Source organism: Homo sapiens, chromosome 17 (assembly GCF_000001405.40).
Source record: "Homo sapiens chromosome 17, GRCh38.p14 Primary Assembly".
In the NCBI taxonomy this organism is placed as follows: domain Eukaryota; kingdom Metazoa; phylum Chordata; class Mammalia; order Primates; family Hominidae; genus Homo; species Homo sapiens.
In genome coordinates this window covers 77,936,500-77,955,248 of record NC_000017.11, presented here as the reverse complement: position 1 = coordinate 77,955,248, position 18,749 = coordinate 77,936,500, and the positions used below count along the sequence as shown (strand labels likewise).

General features: G+C 47.4%; 2 annotated features.

The window, feature by feature from the left end:
* Positions 2,576 to 2,776: a silencer, noted in NCBI's record as "peak3014 fragment used in MPRA reporter construct". NCBI's record gives its function as "represses an SCP1 promoter by STARR-seq MPRAs in K562 erythroleukemia cells {active_cell/tissue: K562}" and the evidence as "EXISTENCE:reporter gene assay evidence [ECO:0000049][PMID:32103011]".
* Positions 5,990 to 6,520: an enhancer, noted in NCBI's record as "NANOG hESC enhancer chr17:75944811-75945341 (GRCh37/hg19 assembly coordinates)". NCBI's record gives its function as "activates a minimal SCP1, AML or CMV promoter by ChIP-STARR-seq in naive H9 embryonic stem cells {active_cell/tissue: H9 hESC(naive)}" and the evidence as "EXISTENCE:reporter gene assay evidence [ECO:0000049][PMID:30033119]".

The window sequence follows — 18,749 nt, the reverse complement described above, 5'->3', positions numbered from 1 at the left end:
ATGCCCAGTCACTTCCTACCACACACTGGTGCCTGAATTACTCCATCCTCCTATTTCTGTTGATTTTACACGTATAATTTGCATCCTAATGATGGACTCTTAAAGGGAAAACCTTCAGGACTCCAACAAATGATTGCTTTTCAATGAAAATGTAAGAAAGCCGGGCTCAGCTCTCCCTGCTTGTCACCGATAGATAGCAACTGAACTGACTTAGAAAAATGTGATAAATTTACAGAGGCCTTTCAGACAAGCAGCAAGGCACAGGGCGTCGGTTCTCAAACTTTCTGTTGATGAGAATCGCCAGGGTAGCTTGTTTGAATTACAAATTCACCTTAGGTCCAGATGAGGCCCATGTATCTGCATGTCTAATCAGCTCCCCAAGTGATTCTGATGCCTTTGTCCTCCCACTATGCTGATAATAATATTGGAATAGAGACTAGAACCTTACAATAAAAGTAAGGGTGAGTCTCAACTCCACTGCTCACTAATTGTTTGACCTTAGGCAAGTTTCTGGGCCTCTGACTTCTCCTTTGTACTCCTCACTGAGTTAGAGATACTTGCTGAATTGCCGTGTATTACGTGCCAGGCAGCGAACTAGGTGCCAGGGATTTAAAGCTGCAAGCCGTGCTTGAGCTATGATTACAATGCATGGAGGTGCTGCAGGAGACAGAAGAGACTCAGGTCATTCTGAAGGGCTCAGGAAGACTTCTCCAAGGGCCTCAGATCTGAGTCTTGAAAGATGCAAGGGAAAGCAGTAATAGGTCAGAAGCTGATGGAAGGGCACTGAAGAAAGAGGGAAAGGTCAGTGTAAAGGAAACCCAAGAGAGCTTGCAGCGCAGCACTTTCAGGGGGCTGGAAGACATTAGTGGGGCTGCAACAGCCCAGGTAAGAGGAGATGGGAGAGATGAGCAGAGGCCAGATTATTATTATTATCTTTGTTTTTTGGAGATGGAGTCGTGCTCTGTCACTCAGGCTGGAGTGCAATGGCACAATCTTGGCTCACTGCAACCTCTGCCTCCCGGGTTCAAGCAATTCTCCTAACTCAGCCTCCCAAGTAGCTGGGGCTACAGGTGCGCACCACCACGCCCGTCTAATTTTTTGTATTTTAGTAGAGATGGGGTTTCACCATGTTGCCCAGGCTCATCTCAAACTCCTGAGCTCAGGCAATCCGCCCGCCTTGGCTTCCCAAAGTGCTAGGAGTACAATTGTGAGCCACCACACCCAAGGCCAGATTATGAATACAAGGAGCATTTCATGTGACCTTAAAGAGTTGGTACTTTATCCTTAAGGCAATGTGGAGCTCTTGGATGATTCCAGACATTATTACACTTGACTGTTAAAGAGAGCTCTCTGGAAACATTGTAGCAGATGACCTGGAAGAGGAAGGGCCAGGGAGGAGGTGATGGCAGGGGGTAGGCGGCCTGCACAGTTCTGCAGCCAGGAAACTAGAACTTATGGAATCCCCTAGAGTAGCAATAGAGGTTAAACGGAGAAGACCTGCTTGAAAGATAACTTTAAATTCAGCTCTGGGGGACTTGGGGTCTGACATATCTGGAGGGTAAGAAAATGGTAAAAGATGTTGCCTCGTTGTCTTTCTCAGTGAGAAAGGATGGATGGTGAGGAAGGGACTGTGGAAGGAGGAGTAGGCTGAGCTCGAGTCTTTGGGTGGGACCCTGAGGAAGAAGGGGTGAGCCTGGTTTGGTACATTTGGAGTTGCAGGCACCTGGGGCACGTCAAGTGGTGATGGTCAGACGTGGGGTGTCTGGGCTGGATAAGTCTCCTGGGGACAGTCTGCACAGGGCTGGAAGTTGGAGGCAGGATCATAGATGATGAGCTCGGGGGATAGGGATGAGGAGGGATGGTGAGAAGGCTGAGTGCTGAGCCTGAGGAGCACCAAGAAGAGAAGAAAACCCTAAAGGAGGCTGAGAAGGGACAGCCAGAGATGCTGAATCCCACCGGATGCCCCATGGAACTAGAGGGGCCACAAGGGGAATGGGTTCGAGAAAGGAGCAGGTGGCCAACAGTATCCATGCGGTAAGAACAGGAGCACACCGATGGAATCAGGCAGCCTCGAGGTCATTTTGTCCTCAGGAAGACAGAGCAGGGGCCGGCAGCAGGTTGCAAGGTGAGAGGAAGGCTGGAGACAGAGACTGACAGTGAGGAGGAACCATGCTTTTAAGTTGAGCCATTGTAATGGGTTGAAATGTGTCCCCCAAAAAGATATGTTGAAGTCCTCACTCCCCACACCTCAGAAAGTGACGTTATTTGGGAATAGTCTTTGCAGACAGAGTTAAGTCAAAGCAAAGTCATTAGCATGGCTCCTAATCCAGTACGACTGTGTCCTTTCTAAAAAGGGGACATTTGGACACAGAGATGCACACACAGGGAGGAGCCCATGTGAGGATGAAGGCAGAGATCGGGGTGATGCTTCTATAAGCCAAGGAACGCCAAAGATTGCCAGCAAGCCGTGAGAACCTAGGGAAAATGCCTGGGACAGGTTCTCCCTCCGAGCCTTTAGAAGAACCAGCCCTGCTGACACCTTCGTCTTGGACTTCTGGCCTCCAGAAATAGGAGAGAAGAAGTTTCTGTTGCTTAAGCCACCCAGTGTGTGATACTTCTTATGGCAACCCCAGGACGCTCACACTATGAAAGGAAGGAATGGGACTAAAGGTCAATATGAGACCAAGGAAGTGGTTTTGGTTCAGTGTTTTGTTTTGTTTGTAAAGGGAGCGACTCAAGCAGTGGATGTGCTGAGAATAGTGAGCCAGAGGAGGGAACCCAGGTGGGGAAGGTGTTCCAAAGGGGTTGAGTATGGAATAAGAAAGGTCTTTGGGCACATGGTGGAGGCGGGACCCTGTCAATGGTGCAGGGAGAGAGAAGATCACTTCTATCTCTGAGACCACAAGAGGCAATGGAGACAGCTGCAGAGGCAGGTAAGTCTACATGCATGTGTGCGTGTATGTGTTCACGAGCACACGCCTGTGCTTACATGTGAGTGTGTGTGCATAAGTGTTTGTGTGTGTACATGCGAGTGCTTGTGTTTGTGTGTGTGTACGTGTGTGAGCTTGTGTGTGTGCATGCATGCATGTGTTGGGGAGTGGTCTGTGGAAAATGGAGGACATATACCCAGTCTTCTTTATTTCTTTGGTGAAGTTGAAAGTGGTCTAAGATTTCTTCTAGATCTGAAGTTCTGCTTCTAGGTATTGAGTACAAGTTATTGTTTTATTTTATATTAATAGCATTGCTGTGAAATTACTGTTTGTGGTGTATTAAACCTAATAGAAAAACATACACCTTGTATCTTTGCCTATTATTAAAGCAAATTCCAGCCTCCAAAGTATATAGGACCACATATCTAAACTGTGGAAGGCATGTTTCATTTCCCTTTGTGTCTTTGGGTCTGAATCATAAAGTGACACTTTCGATGTTTCGGAGGCCAGCCTTGGTCAGTATTTGGACATTGCAAAGGTCTCTCTTTCCATTGACTCTATCCCTAGAAGACTCAGGGGTGGAAATCTGTGGAGAGCATCTGGGTGTGGAACCGGAGATGACTGATGAAGTTGCGATGAGGATGTCACCTGTTCGGGGGGTCTCAGGCACTGAAAACAGCCTCATTTATCTGGGCCCTGTGATACTGGGCAGATGGTTTTGGGGGCGCTGCGGTTGCTTCGGTCCAGTTCTGTGAAACTGGCAACCTGGTGTACCAGGGAGACAGAAAAGGTGGGTCAGGCTGCGGACTCTCATGGAAAGGATTGCTCGTGAGCTGTTACCCCGATGGGCTTCTCTGGCCCCACTTTGGGTGATAGATCTGGTGATAAACTAGAAGCAGGGCTTTGTGTCAACAGCCAGTAACTTTTGGATTTGCCCTCCGAGTGAACTCCTCATTCCAAGACTAGCTCCTTCACTCTTACGTTAATTGAGCAAATATTTGCAAGCATCTGGCATTGGCAAAGCCCTGCAGCCTTTCCAAGCTAACCTGGCCACCCCTCCTGTCCTCCCTCCAGAGCCACTGATGGTTGGAGCAAGAGTGTGAAAAAGGTAGACACAATTTTACCTCCCCATTCTCCTTGTTCTCTTTTCTGTAACATCACTTTCCATAATCTATCATTTGCTTCTTACTGTGTTTCTGGTTTATCGTAATGTTGTCAGCTTCACCAGTACGAGATCCTTGTGCATTTTGTTCACTAATGTATTTCAGGCACTTAGAACAGAGCTGGCACTGGGTGCTCCATAAATATTTTTGTTAAATTAACGAATTTAGATAAATGGATTAATGTCATAAGAAAGTTAATATCAATGTGCTGGAGGAGAAATCACATCCAGGTATTAGATGTGAGGGTGGGTCAGGGAACGCTCCATAAGGGATATGGGATCCAAGATGGCTTTAAAGGAATCGATAGGGTTCCTTCTTTCCTTCCTTCCCTCTTCCTGTCCTTTCCTTTCCTCCCTCCCCCCTCTCCTTTCTCCCCTCCTTTTTTTCATTTCTATCTACCTTCCCTCCCTCCCTCCTTCCTTCCATCCATCATATTTTCTTCCTTCCTCCTTTCTTTCCTCTTTCTCTTTTTCTTTTACCTTAGTAGTGTACCAATTATTCAGAGCTCAGGACAACACACAGAAGAAATAACAGCAATTTGACATTTATTTATTTATTAGTAATTTTTGAGACGGAGTCTCTCTCTGTTGCCCAGGCTGGAGTGCAGTGGCTCAATCTTGGCTCACTGCAACCTCCGCCTCCCAGGTTCAAGCGATTCTTCTGCCTCAGCCTCACGAGTAGCTGGGACTACAGGCATGCGCCATTATGCTTGGCTCATTTTTTTTTTTTTTTTAGTAGAAACAGGGTTTCACCATGTTGACCAGGCTGGTCTCAAACTCCTGACCTCAAGTGATCCACCCGCCTCGGCCTCCCAAAGTGCTGGGACTACAGGTGGAAGCCACCGCGCCCAAACCAGAAATTTGACATTTATGACAGATATTTCCTGAGACTTTTGTAGAACTCAATTTAAAAAAATCTTTAATGTATTATATAATTTTAATTTTTTCCCTCTCCCAAGTAAACCAAAATGCACGCTTGATTGTGAGTAGACAATGAAAAGGAATTTTAGTTATCTGTTGCTGAGAAACAAATTATTCCAACATTTAGCAGCTTAAGACAACAAACGTGTGTGCCTCACACCGTTTCTGAGAATCCGGAATCCAGGAGTAGTCTTGCAGAGTGAGTCTTTCGTGAGGTTGCAGTCAAACTGTCAACCTGGTCTGTAATCTCCAAAGATGTGCCCGGGCTGGAGTGTCTTCTCCGGGGGCACTCACATGTCTGTGGGAAGGAGGCTTCAGTCCCTTGCCACAGGGACCATTCCACAGGGCCACTCATGACACGGCTCACGCCAAAGTGAGGAGTGCAAGAGAGAGAGCACCATGGCTGAAGCCAAAGTCCTTCCTAATTGAATATCAGAAGAACACCACTTCTGCCTGATGCCATTGGCCACCCAGACCAACCATGGCACAGTGTGGAAGGGGACCACACCAGGTGTGAGTGCCAGGAGGTGGAACTCCTTGGGGCCATTTTGGAGGCTGGCTCCTATCCAACAAATCCACATTGAAACCGAATGCCATGAGGTCAGCTGGGCTCATTCGCATCACAAACAATTCAAACTCATGGCGTCATGACCTGTCATGGCTTTTCAGGTTCTGGCTGGATTCTTGGCAAGGTAGGGGCATCGGTTTGCTAGGAATGCCATGTTTTTGGGATTTCCTTCACCTTCCTGGGTGAATTCCCTTTTTCTTATACCAGTGGGATTGGACTCTATAACTAAGGTCCCATCTAACTCAAACTCTATTCAGTTCCAGTAATTCGATCAGTGGATGGCTACAAAAAAGAGAAAGTCTTCAAAGAGGAGATGGCATTTGCACTTGAAAAGCTCCACCGTGTTGAGATGGATGGAATGCGTCCCATCAAATGTACAGAACTTAGAGATGACATCAAGATCTGGTTATGGTAACTACAGAAGGCTCTTGTTAGGAGGCAGAATCCAAACAGTTTGGCTAAGAAAGAGAGCCACTGGGCTGAGCTAAGAGTTTGGATGTGATTCTGCAGGTGGTGAATGTGGAAGAGATGGCTCCACCTAAATCCATACTATACTTCCCCAGTGTGAGTTCCCACTGAGAAGGGGCATCTGTATCCAGCCAGGACTACATTTCCCAGAACTCCTTCTTTTCCGGGCAGGGCCATGTGACCAGTTCTGGACAAAGGAATGTGAGCCGAAGTGATGTGATTCATGTCCACGCTAAGGCCATTAAGAGGCAGTTGTGCTCTCTCTTCTTGGGCAATTGAGAGGCAGTTGTGCCCTCTCCTGCCTGGATGCAGAGGACCCAGTAGATGGAAGAGCCTCAAAAGGAAAAGGGCCCATGTCCCTAAACTTCAAGAGGGGAAACATCTCCTAAAAACCAGGAACACCAGATGAGTGAAAAGTGCACATGTGTTAGGTAAGTCCACTGAGAGTCTGGGTTTGTTTGTTATAGCAGCTACCACTCTCCTAACACACAGTAGGAAACCTTTGTAGTCTTTCAACAGGGATTGCAAAATAAAAATAGTCTTAGGAAGATGAATATGCCATGGACAGGCAGGATGGTGTGATATGGGGAGAGAAACACTGAAGGCTAAGAGGTGAGTTAGGAAGCTGTCACGGGGTTGTGATGTGGTAAAACCTGAAGAAGCCTAGCATACAACAGAATTTATAGAAAAGACAAAAGTAATGATAACCTTATTTTTCTTTGCTTATTACAAGCCAGACATTAGCTATGCACTTTATACACATTACCTCTTTTAATATTTTTAGTTCTTATTTAAATATTTCTCTTGCTATATTGTATGCATTAAAAACAGTTTGGTTTTTTGGGATGGAGTCTCACTCTATTACCCAGGCTGGAGTGCAGTAGCGTGATCATAGCTCACTGCAGTGTTGACCTCCCAGGCTCAGGTGATCCACCTGCCTCAGTCTCCCAAGTAGCTAGGACTACAGGTGTGTGCCATCACACCCAGTTAATTTTTTGACTTTTTGTAGAGATGGGGGTCTCATTTTGTTGCCCAGGCTTGTCTCCAACTCTTAGGCTCAAGTGATCCTCCCGCCTCAGCCTCCCAAAGTGTTGGGATTACAGACATGAGCCACCACGCCCGACCTTAAAAACAGTTTTAAAATGCAAAGTAATTCGTATATATAGTTTTATTTTATCATTATTATTATTATTTGGAGACAGAGTCTTACTCTGTTTCCCAGGCTGGAGTGCAGTGGTACGATCTTGGCTCACTGCAACCTCTGCCTCCCGGGTTCAAGTGATTCTCCTGCCTCAGCCTCCTGAGTAGCTGGGATTAGAGTGTGCACCACCATAACCAGCTATTTTTTTTTTTTTTTTTTTGTATTTTTAGTAGAGATGGGATTTCACCATGTTGGCCAGGCTGGTCTTGAACTCCTGGCCTCAAGCAATCCACCTGCCTCTGCCTCCCAAAGTACTGGGATTACAGGCGTGAGCCACCGCGCCCATGTATATAGTTTTAAAAGACAACTACATATTACTAATTTTGAAATAAAACAAGCAAAACAACAACAACAACAACAACAACGACAACAAAACCCAGTCTTATGCCCTGCAAGCCTCCTCACTCTGAATTTCTACCCCTGGAGTCAACTACTTTCAAATCCTTTTTTGTTTCTTCCGCCATTTACCTTAATGTTTCTAAATAATATGCTCACCCTCTTCCTTCTTGATTTTCCTGTTTTAACATCATGACTTCCTACTCTAGAGAATGAGGATGTGACTCTTGTACACCACCTCCCATCATCCTATATACTTCCCTTCCCTCAGATGGGTAAGATTTCAACATCAGAATTGGGAGTACATTTTCTGGACAGGCAAATCAAACAGATACAGCAATAGTTAGATTAGTATGTAGGTCATCCCTAGAAGGTTAGAAGGAAACAAAACTAGAAAGGGGGTTTGGAACCAGAGCATGGAGAGCCACCAGGCTAGGGAATTAGAACTTAATCTAGTGTGTTGTAGGGAGCCACTGAAGGTTTAAGGCAGGAAGTGGCAAGAGCAAAGCTGTAGTAGGGGATGGCTATCCCAGCAGCATCTGTAGGGTGGATGAGAGCAGGGGTCATGTGACAGTACAAACAACGGGCCATTCATTCATTCATCCATGCGTTTATTCTATCAACTTTCTCATCTCCATTTACACGGGAGCCCTAGTTAATGCCCGTCTCTACCACTGCACAGTGGGTTCTGCACTTGCCCTTTTGGTTGTTACTGTGTCTTAGCACTGGCATAGTGGCTGGCACATGTTAGGTGTTTAATAAATGTTTGTTGAGGCCAGGCGCGGTGGCTCATGCCTGTAATCCCAGCACTTTGGGAGGCCGAGGCAGGCGGATCGTGAGGTCAGGGGATCGAGACCATCCTGGCTAACATGGTGAAACCCCGTCTCTACTAAAAAGACAAAAAAAAATTAGCTGGGCGTGGTGGCGGGCGCCTGTAGTCCCAGCTACTCAGGAGGCTGAGGCAGGAGAATGGCGTGAACCCGGGAGGCGGAGCTTGCAGTGAGCCGAGATTGCGCCACTGCACTCCAGCCTGGTGACAGAGTGAGACTCCGTCTCAAAAAATAAAAATAAATAAATAAATAAATGTTTGTTGAAGGAAGGGATGACAGCTGTTGGTAATGTGGAGATAAATAGGGTATTGGCCATGATGAGAGAGCTGGAGCCATTTTAGAGAGAGACACGAACTTGGCTGCTAACTGAAGGGCAGGAGACTTGGGGTGTCAAAGTGGCTCCACATAGGAGCCCAGGTGAGTGACAGTTTCAAGAGCAGGATTAGGAGGGCTGAGGGGAGTTGGTGAACAGTCAGATGATAGTTTGCCTTTAGGAATGTTTGGTTAAACAAATCTCACACCACTTCAGCCTGTGATTCAAGTCAACCCAAGGGCTCCTCAACCCAGTCTCAACCAAGATATTTCCGCACTCTGTTATCCCAGATGTTGTGACGTTTGGCTCAGCTGCCTGCCGTGCTCCGACAGTGGGGCTGGGTCCCCAGTCATTTCCTTTTGGCCGCTTTATTAAGTGCCCAGCTGATTTGGCCTGAGCAGACTGTATCAGTTGGCTCACTGTCGCATCCCCCAGTGTGCGGCGTGTAACAGGCCTTCAGTAAATACTTACTGGGTGAATGTATGACTTTCTTTTTGTATTATTATTTTTTATTTCCCTAGTTTTTGGGGTACAGGTAGTTTTTGGCGACATGGATGAATTCTATAGTGGTGGATTCTGAGATTTAGTGCACCTGTCACTGGGGCAGTGTGCACTGTACCCAACCTCCCCAACTCCAAGATCCCACAGCCTATTTTATCACTCTGTATGTCTTTGCATCCTCACGGCTTAGCTCCCACTTCTAAGTGAGAACATATGGCATTTGGTTTTCCATTCCTGAGTTACTTCACTTAGAATAGCGGCCTCCAGGCAAGGCTTGGTGGCTCACACCTGTAATCCCAGCACTTCGGGAGGCCAAGGCGGGCAGATCACGAGGTCAGGAGATCGAGACCATCCTGGCTAACACGGCGAAACCCCATCTCTACTAAAAATACAAAAAATTAGCCGGGCATGGTGGCGGGCACCTGTAGTCCCAGCTACTTGGGAGGCTGAGGCAGGAGAATGGCGTGAACCCGGGAGGCGGAGCTTTCAGTGAGCCGAGATCGCGCCACTGCACTCTAGCCTGGGAGACAGAGCGAGACTCCATCTCAAAAAAAAAAAAAAAAAAAAATAGTGGCCTCCAGCTGCATCCAAGTTGCTGCAAAGGACATGATTTTGTTCCTTTTTATGACTGAGTACTTTTCCATGGTGTATTTTCTTTATCTACTCGATGCTCAGTGGGCACTTATATTGGTCCCATAGCTTTGCAATTGCAAATCGTGCTGCTGTAAACATGCATGTGCGTGTGTCTTTTTCATATAATGACTTCTGATCCTTTGGGTAGATACCCAGTAGTGGGATTGCTGGATTGAATGGTAGATCTACTTTAATTCCTCGAGAACTCTCCTTACTGTTTTCCATAGATGTTGTACTAATTTAGAATGCGTGACTTTCTGTACCAGACATTACTGGGTTCCCTCTGCGTGTGGATGTCAGGGGAGGTGCCATGAAGATGGTACTAGAACTGAAGAGGAGGGTGTGTATCAGGGGAACAAGGGAGGGGCCAGCGCTCCAGGCTCAGGGTTCTGTATACACAAGGGTGAAGGAGCCGGTTTGGGCAATGGAAGCAGATTCTTTTTGTTGGTCATTTGGGAACGAGTCTAATCTCAGACACTCAGCTGCAATTCTTGTTAAAAGCAACAGGTTGAGTAATCTGAGGAGCAGGGCCAAGGAGAGAAATTCACTGGCTTAATGCAGCTGCCCAAGCCCCAGATGTCAGTCAGTTGATGCACTGGGAATGAGGGCAGCTTTACCTGGAGCCAGTCACAGTGTTGCCAATCTCCTGGGACCTGAGTGTGCTCCCTTCCACCTGGAGACAGGTTCTGCCCTTGGACTAACAGGAAGAATCTCCTGGGAGGTGCCTTGTACTGATGCTCACAGTCGCCCCTGGAACAAAGACTTTGTTTTGGAAAGCATGACTCGGGGGATTATCACCAAAACCTGTCTCATCAGCAGCTAGGCTTCCAGGGCCAGTGTCCCTTGGAGATTTGAGATTACAGCATCTACCAAGGAGTCCAGCTTCCTTCAAGGGGACTGTGCAAGGTGCCACATGGCCTGTTCCTACAGGGCGCCTCTCGTGTTGAGATGTGTAGATGTGTAGATTCGTGTGTGTGTGTGTGTGTGTGTGTGCGTGTGTGTACCTCCCTAGCCAGAAGTCGGGGGAAAACTCCAAACCCAAACTAGTGAAATTCAGAGGTTGCCAAACCTCTAAACTTGACATCTGGTATAACCTGGAGTTGGCCAAGAGGTCCTGGGTGTTCACCTCTCATAACCTGGGCAGGGTCTCCAGCTGCCAGTTGTCAGACCAGGGGCATAGCCAGCCACTGGAACGAGGGAGAGGCTAGAAAATGAATTCCTGCCCTATCCTGTCATCTCAGCCACCGCTTGTTTGTTTATTCTATTCTTTCCAACTATAAAATAATACACACACTCGCTATGAAACAATGTAGAAAATATAGAAGGATAGTAAGAAAAATATTACATTGCCCCTCAAAGAAGCTTATGTTAACATTTAAAAATGTTTCCTTCCAGACTCATATCGTAGCATAATTTTTAAAAATCTATAGATGTGCTCATGGTTTTACAAGATGTTTTGAATTACTCTGTGAGGAAAAGAGAAACACGTTTAGTCTAGGAGCAAGAAACTTTTTCCCGTTATAATCTTCCATGCTATTTAGTAAGCGCTTTATAGCAATCATTTTCATAGCCGGCATATTGTTTTATCAAATGAATTTGCCATAATTTACTTAAGGAAACTTCTACTAGACATTAGATCCAGGATGCCGGATCCAAGTCCTCCTCTCTGATGGAACTGGGAGTGTGGATGTGGTTTAGTGATGCCAGGGACAGCGATGGAAATGGTGCATTGAAGAGCTCAGCATTGTTTTGCCACAGTGTGTTTAGAAAATTTGCCTCCTCAGGCTGGGCGCGGTGGCTCACAACTGTAATCGCAGCACTCTGGGAGGCCAGTGCGGGCAGATCACCTGAGGTCAGGAGTTCGAGGCCAGCCTGGCCAACATGACAAAACCTTGTCTCTACTAAAAATACAAAAATTAGCCAGGCGTGGTAGCTGGCGCCTGTAATCCCAGCTACATGGGAGGCTGAGGCAGGAGAATCGCTTGAACCCAGGAGGCAGAGGTTGCAGTGAGCCGTGATCATACCACTGCACTCCAGCCTGGATGACAGAGTGAGACTCTTTCTCAAAAATAAAAAGAAAGAAAGAAAATTTGCCTCCCTTTCAGTGAAGTGCCTTCACCCACTTAACAATTGAAATTTGCCCCTGAAGAGCAGGTTGTAGCAACTGTTGCATTTTTTTTTTGGTGGCGGGGGGGAAATCTTATTTCTACTAATCTTTACTTTTAAAACAGGCCAAGTTAGTGGGCTAGCTTTCTTAAGAGAAGTCAAACTAAAGCGGTTTTGATGTTGTATTTGGGGGGCCTCTGCCACTGGGCAGAGCTTCTTTCTGGGGCACAGGGACACTGATTGCATTACTCATGAAGGTCTGTGTTGCCTCTGTGACCAGCCTATGGAGGCAATGGATTCCTGTTGATGGGGAGCATGCAAACATTTCCCTGCCCAGCCAGGAAGCCTTTGACAGGCTCAGTTTACCTGCTGCTTCTTCCAAGCCCAACTTCCTCCTCCAGCTCTGCAGGAGGAGATCTGCATGACCTCAAGGACAGCACACCCCAGGGTGGCAGCCCCTGGAAAGCCCAGCAGGAGAGCCGTCAGCGGAGGGATGTCATGGGAGCCAGTGGCATCCCTAGCAACCTGCACTCTCCCAGGTCCCAGCCAGATCGCCAGCTCAGCCAAGCAGGAGAAAATGGCTCCCTGGAACCCTGTAAGTGACTAGCCTAGGCTCCTCTGCCCAAAGACCTGTGTCGAAAGATCCAAGACACTTCCCTCCGCCGTCTGAACACAACTGGGCCTTTGTGTGTCGGGGCCAAACACGGTTCCTAATTGGCAGCATAAACAATGGGCCTCTGTGTTTGTTCCCAGAAGACAACACAGTTCTGCAGCAATGACACGTGTTTCAATGTACAAAAAAAAAAAAAAAAGTGTCAGAGCCTGACATTTCAGCAAAAATCTCTTTGGAGAATCCTGTGCTCATCACTAAAAGACCTTGTTAGACATCATCCCAATGGCTGCAGCAACCACCCCCCACCACTCGGCAGGCCACAGTCCCTTTGTAGAGATTCTGTGAGCACTGGAGACTGCTGGGTGCAGAGTGTCACACAGTGCAGTGATTAGCAGCATGAAAGGTTTTACTGGGCTTGATTTAAGGGCATTAACTGCCACCAAGTGCCTCCATCCTGGGGTCCAACTCAAACCAAATACAATAGCAGTCAGAAAGAAAGCAGACCTCTCTTTCTGCACTAATGTCCCAGCGGCAGACTTTGGTGAGATGCAGTGTGCAGGGCTTTTACACCACGGGGTCCTTGAAAGAGGCAAATGAGAAGGTACCTGCAGCCAGCCCATGGGCACAAGTAGGGCCAGCTCCCACGGCTACTTGTGGTGGGAACTTGGAGGAGAAGAGTCTTCAGATGCATCCCAGGCTCAGTAGCCCCATCCCCTTGCATCCTGACTCTGACAGCTGGCCCAGGTAGGGAGCAGGGAGGATGGCAGAGCGTGCCTTATACACTGCTGTATCCATCAGGGTTCCGCAGAGAAGCAGAATCAATAGAAGATAGAGAGAGGTAGAGATAGAGGTAGATAGACAGATAGATAGGCAAGCAGGTAGGTAGGTAGACAGATAGACAGGCAGATAGATACGTAGATAGAGAGATAGACGAATGGGGCCAGGCATGGTAGCTCATGCCTTTAATCCCAGCACTTTGGGAGGCGGAGGTGGGTGGATCACCTGAGGTCAGGAGTTTGAGACCAGCCTGGCCAACATGGTGAAACCCCGTCTCTACTAAATACAAAAAATTAGCTGGGCGTGGTGGTACACACCTATAGTCTCAGCTACTCAGGAGACTGAGGTGGGAGAATTGCTTGAACCTGAGAGGCGGAGGTTGTGGTAAGGCAAGATCGTGCCACTGCACTCTAGCCTGAGCAACAGAGGGAGACTCTGTCTCAAAAAAAAAAAAAGTGGGGGAGGAGTTTATTAGGGAGAATTGGCTCACATGATCACAAGGTGAAAAGTCCCATGATAGACCATCTGCAAGCTAGGGAAGAAAGCAGCCAGTAGTGGCTTAGTCCCAGTCCAAAAGCCTCAAAAGCGGGGAAACCGACAGTGCAGCCTTCAGTCTGCGGCCAAAGGCCTGAGAGCCCCCGGCAAACCACTGGTGTAAGTCCCAGAGTCCAAAGGCCGAAGAACCTTTGGACTTTGGTTTGAGGTCCAAGGGCAGGAGGAGCAATGCCAATCTCCTCTGGCAACACCCTCTTAGACACACCCAGAAACAATACATTACCAGCCATCTAGGCATCCTTCAATCCAATCAAGTTGACATCCGCTATCAACTATCACAGGTAATAAAACCCACCAGCAGAACGTTAAACCAAGCAAGAGGTCTCTCTACCTGCGGGCCCTGTGGCATGACACAGGTCACACACCCACACATGAAGTCGGCCCTGCAAGTTGGCCCTGTTAGTTTACATGTCTTTAACAGCAGTTTTATCACTAGGGTTATTGCCAGATCGTAGCTGTTTCCTCCCACAATGAGGCTGTGAGACCCGGGACCATTCCGGTGATGTTGATTTCCCGATGCCTGCACCGTGCTTGGCACAGACCAGCTGGCTCAGAGTATTGCTAAGTGACTGGATGCACTGAGTGACACCTTAATGAATGATTCCTCACCACCCTCTGCATTCTTGATGGCCTCCAAGTTGCCATTTCACCCTTTGCTCTTTATCCCTACCCACAAGGAGCAAATATAATTTGATGGCACCATTCAGCCATTCGGGGAGGCCGAAGTCATCTGGCCACTCCAGAGTCATGTCTAATGCATACTTCTGCCAGTTATACTCCCCCTCCTGAGCCTGGGGGTGAGGCGACCCCCTTAATCAAGTGGTGGGGACCTCTAGTGATTTTGAGGGATTTATAGACACCCATCCACCATTCGCAGAACCTTATAGCAATCCAGATCCATTAGCCAATCATTTAGAGAGAGATTAAAATAATGAAGGTGAGAATAAAGTGAGGACCTTGTCCTATTGGAACTCCATTAATCATCATCTGTGGCTTAAAGAAAGAGTTATCATCCCAGCCCATTACAGAAAGTTGTCAATTAGGCACCACATGAAACCTCAGAGAATTGTTCCCCGAAGAGAATTTTAGGAGGGCAGTCACATCCCCGTGATGAATTCGTCACCAGAGAGCCCCGTACGAGTCCCTAGTTGAAGCTGGAGGCATTCAGAATGCCAGGCGAAATGTCCTCTATTTCTCACAGTTCGAAGGAGAGGCGAGAGAAGCTAGACTCAGGAAGTCTCTGGAAATCAAGATCACAGTGATGGTTGTCTGAGGTCAGATTTGTCATCCACTTCAAAATACATCTTATGCCCAATTCAAACTTTTAAAATACTTCGGGTTGCATTTGTATAATAGCACATATTTAAAAGCAGCCTATTATAAAGTGCTTAAATAGATTAATATATATCATCTCAATGTACTATTACACAGCTATTACATGTTTACAAAAGCTGTAAGTTAACTGATAAAAGTAAAGCATTCAGAGAGGAAAAAGCGAGACATCAAACATACAGATAATATGACCACTGCTACCAAAAATCTGCATCATCTACATCTAGAAAAAGACTGGAAGGGCCGGGCGCAGTGGCTCACACCTGTAATCACAGCACTTCGGGTGGCTGAGGTGGGTGGATCACAAGGTCAGGAGTTTGAGACCAGCGTGGCCAACATGGTGAAATTCCGTATCTACTAAAAATACAAAAATTAGCCAGGCGTGGTGGTGGGCGCCTGTAATCCCAGCTACTCGGGATGCTGAGGCAGAAGAATTGCTTGAACCTGTGAGGCGGAGGTTTCAGTGAGTTGAGATGGCACCGCTACACTCCAGCCTGGGCGACAGAGCAAGACTTTGTCTCAAAAAAAAAAAAAAAAAGAAAGAAAGAAAAGAAAAAGACTGGAAGAAGAAAAGTACCCCCCAAAATGTTATTAGTTGTTGTTTTTGGATGGTGAGATTATTGGTAACTGTTTTTACTTTTTACAATTTCTTTTTATTTTCTAATTTTTAGTTCGAGGTACATGTGCAGGATGTGCAGGTTTGTTACACACGTAAACGTGTGAGTTGCTGCCCCTATCAACCCATCAGCTAGGTATTCAGCCCAGCATGTGTTAGCTATTTTTCCTGATGCTCTCCTTCCATCCTGCCCCCCCCACCCAGACCATGTGTGTTGTTCCCCTCCCTGTGTCTTCATGTTCACATTGTTCAGCTCCCACTTATAAGTGAGAACATGCAGTGTTTGGTTTTCTATTCCTGCGTTAGTTTGCTGAGGATAATGGCTTCTAACTCCATCCATGACCCTGCAAAGGACATGATCTTTTTCCTTTTTATGGGTGCATATTTTTCATAATTTCTTTATTTTTCTTTTCTTTTTCTTTTTTTTTTTTTTTGAATCAGAGTCTCCCTCTGTCGCCCAGCCTGGAGTGCAGTGGCTCCATCACTGCTTACTGCAGTCTCAGCATCGCAGGCTCAGGTGATCCTCCCACTTCAGCCTCCTGAGGAGCTGGTACCACAGGCGTGTGCCACCACACCCAGCTAATTTTTGTATTTTTTGTAGAGACAGAGTTTCACTATGTTGCCCAGGCTGATCTCGAATTCCTGAACTCAAGTGATCCATCTGCCTCGGCCTCCCCAAGTGCTGGGATTACAGGCGTGAGCCACCGTCCCCTGCCATAATTTTTTATATTCTCAATATATTCCATACCAAGCAAGTATTACTTTTACAGTATAGCTGATATGCTGCATCCTGGTTTTCATTTAGTAAAGTATAAACTTTAACAGCAGGCATTTTAATTAGTAGTTGGTAGAGTTGATGAAAGTGGCTAATAACAGTATTGGAGTATCTTCTTCGTTCCAGCTTAAGATTTAATAACTCACTCAGAAAATCCAGGTGGCCTTCAAGGAAGTTGTTCCCAGGGAGTTGGGGGGCCGGGAACGGGGACCAGCTGCCTCCTGCAGCATCTCCCTTGTTTCCTCTTCAGGGAGTGACATGTGTCCCTGACTGCTGGGCAGTTGGGGCTTTCAGCAAAGCTTTCTCTAGACACACAGGAGGATGAGTTACCTGAGGTTATGAAAGGGCGTAGAAGTCTACAGCTGCCTGGCATGCTGCATGGGTGTCAGAGGGCTCCCAGGAATTTGCCTCAGTGGCTGCCTTGCTGCTTCCCTCCTTTCAGCTCAAGTCAGCAAGAGTGCATTGGGTGTGAAGCCTGCATCAGCACCCTAGGCCTGCGCCCCGACAAGATAGTTAAGCGAAGTGCCTCCAGCAGCTGGCTTTGGTGATTTTGTGGCTCAGTTCTACTGCACCTTCTTATGATAATAGTTACCTCAAGTTTTGTTTAAGGACCCACTCTCTACTTTAGATGACTAATAATTAGCTATTATTATTATTATTATTATTATTATTATTATTATTATATGGTTCCAGTGAACTCCTGGATTCAATTAACCCATTGCATCCTCCCAGCCACAGGCTTGGTTTTGAGATAGTTATCTGATGCAAGCCAAGCCACCCAGGCCCAACAAGACTCTCTTCTATTATTTTAGTTGAACTATGAAGAAACTAGACTCTCTTCCCTTCCCTACCGTATATGTTTTTGTTGTTGTTGTCGTTGGTTCTTTTTTTTTTTTTTTTTTGAGAGAGTGTCGCTCTGTTGCCCAGGCTGGAGTACAGTGGTGCAATCTTGGCTCACTGCAACCTCCACCTCCCGGGTTCAAGTGATTCTCTTGCCTCAGCCTCCCGAGTAGCTGGGGCTACAGGTGTGTGCCACCATGCCCGGCTAATTTTTACATTTTTAGTGGAGACAGGGTTTCGCCATGTTGGCCAGGCTGGTTCCCTACTGTATATGAAGCTGAGAGCACCTGCCTGGGAATGACGCTGATGAAGCTAAGCAAAGAGGCGACAGAAACAAGTCCTGAGGATGTGGCTGGAGCCCCAGCATCAAGCCCCATCGGAAGCCAGCCCAACCTTCAGCCTCTGAAGCCAGCACATTTTTCTTGTGCTTAATCCCATTGGGTTGGGTTTATGTCATTTGTAGCTGAAGGAGTCTTTTCCAATACACTACCTTTGGAGAGCCTTCTGTCTTGTCAGGGGCACAGATAGACAAGCAGGTAACTTCCGATGAGTGTGGGGTGGGTACTGGGGTCTCCAGGGGGACCAGGAGCTGAGCGTGGACCCTGGGAGGTTTCCTGGAGGAAGAGATACCTGAGCTAAGCCTTGCACGAGCGGAGTGGGTCAAAGGCAGGAAGCTGTGAGCCTCTCGGTGCACGCAGGGGATTCGGTGTGAAGTAAGGAGCAACTCAGGTGAGGCCGGCATGGCAGGCAGGACCAGGCCGTGGATGGGCAGGTGGGCCAGAGTGAACTCCGCCCACCTGCTCACCTGAAGAGCCATCCTGTCCTGGTGCAGCATGTGTCAGAGCTGTGGGCAGCTAGGCCCTGAATCCTTGATGTGCTTCTTGGTACCCAGGACCGTGTGCCTGCAGAGGTCTGTGTGGGAAATGCTGGCACGTGGGAAGGAGGACGCACTGAAGGCAGGATCGTGGCTATCCAGAAATGCCCAGGCTTCCTGGGGACCGGGGTGGAACATTTTATGGTCCATTGGAAGAGAATTCTGCCAGAAGGAAGATTGCATTTGACGCAGCCGCTCTTGCTGTTCTGGGCTACCAGGAGGTGAAACGTCAAAGAGGGAAATCTGGGGACAAAAAACAAACCTGGAACCCAAAGTACCTGGAGAGAAAACATGCCAGTGCATTTGGGCTGTTTCAGATTCAAAGCATATATCCTGAGTATATCGGAGTTGGGCAGGGGAGGGGAGTTTGGGGTGAGGAGCTGGCATATATATTTTTT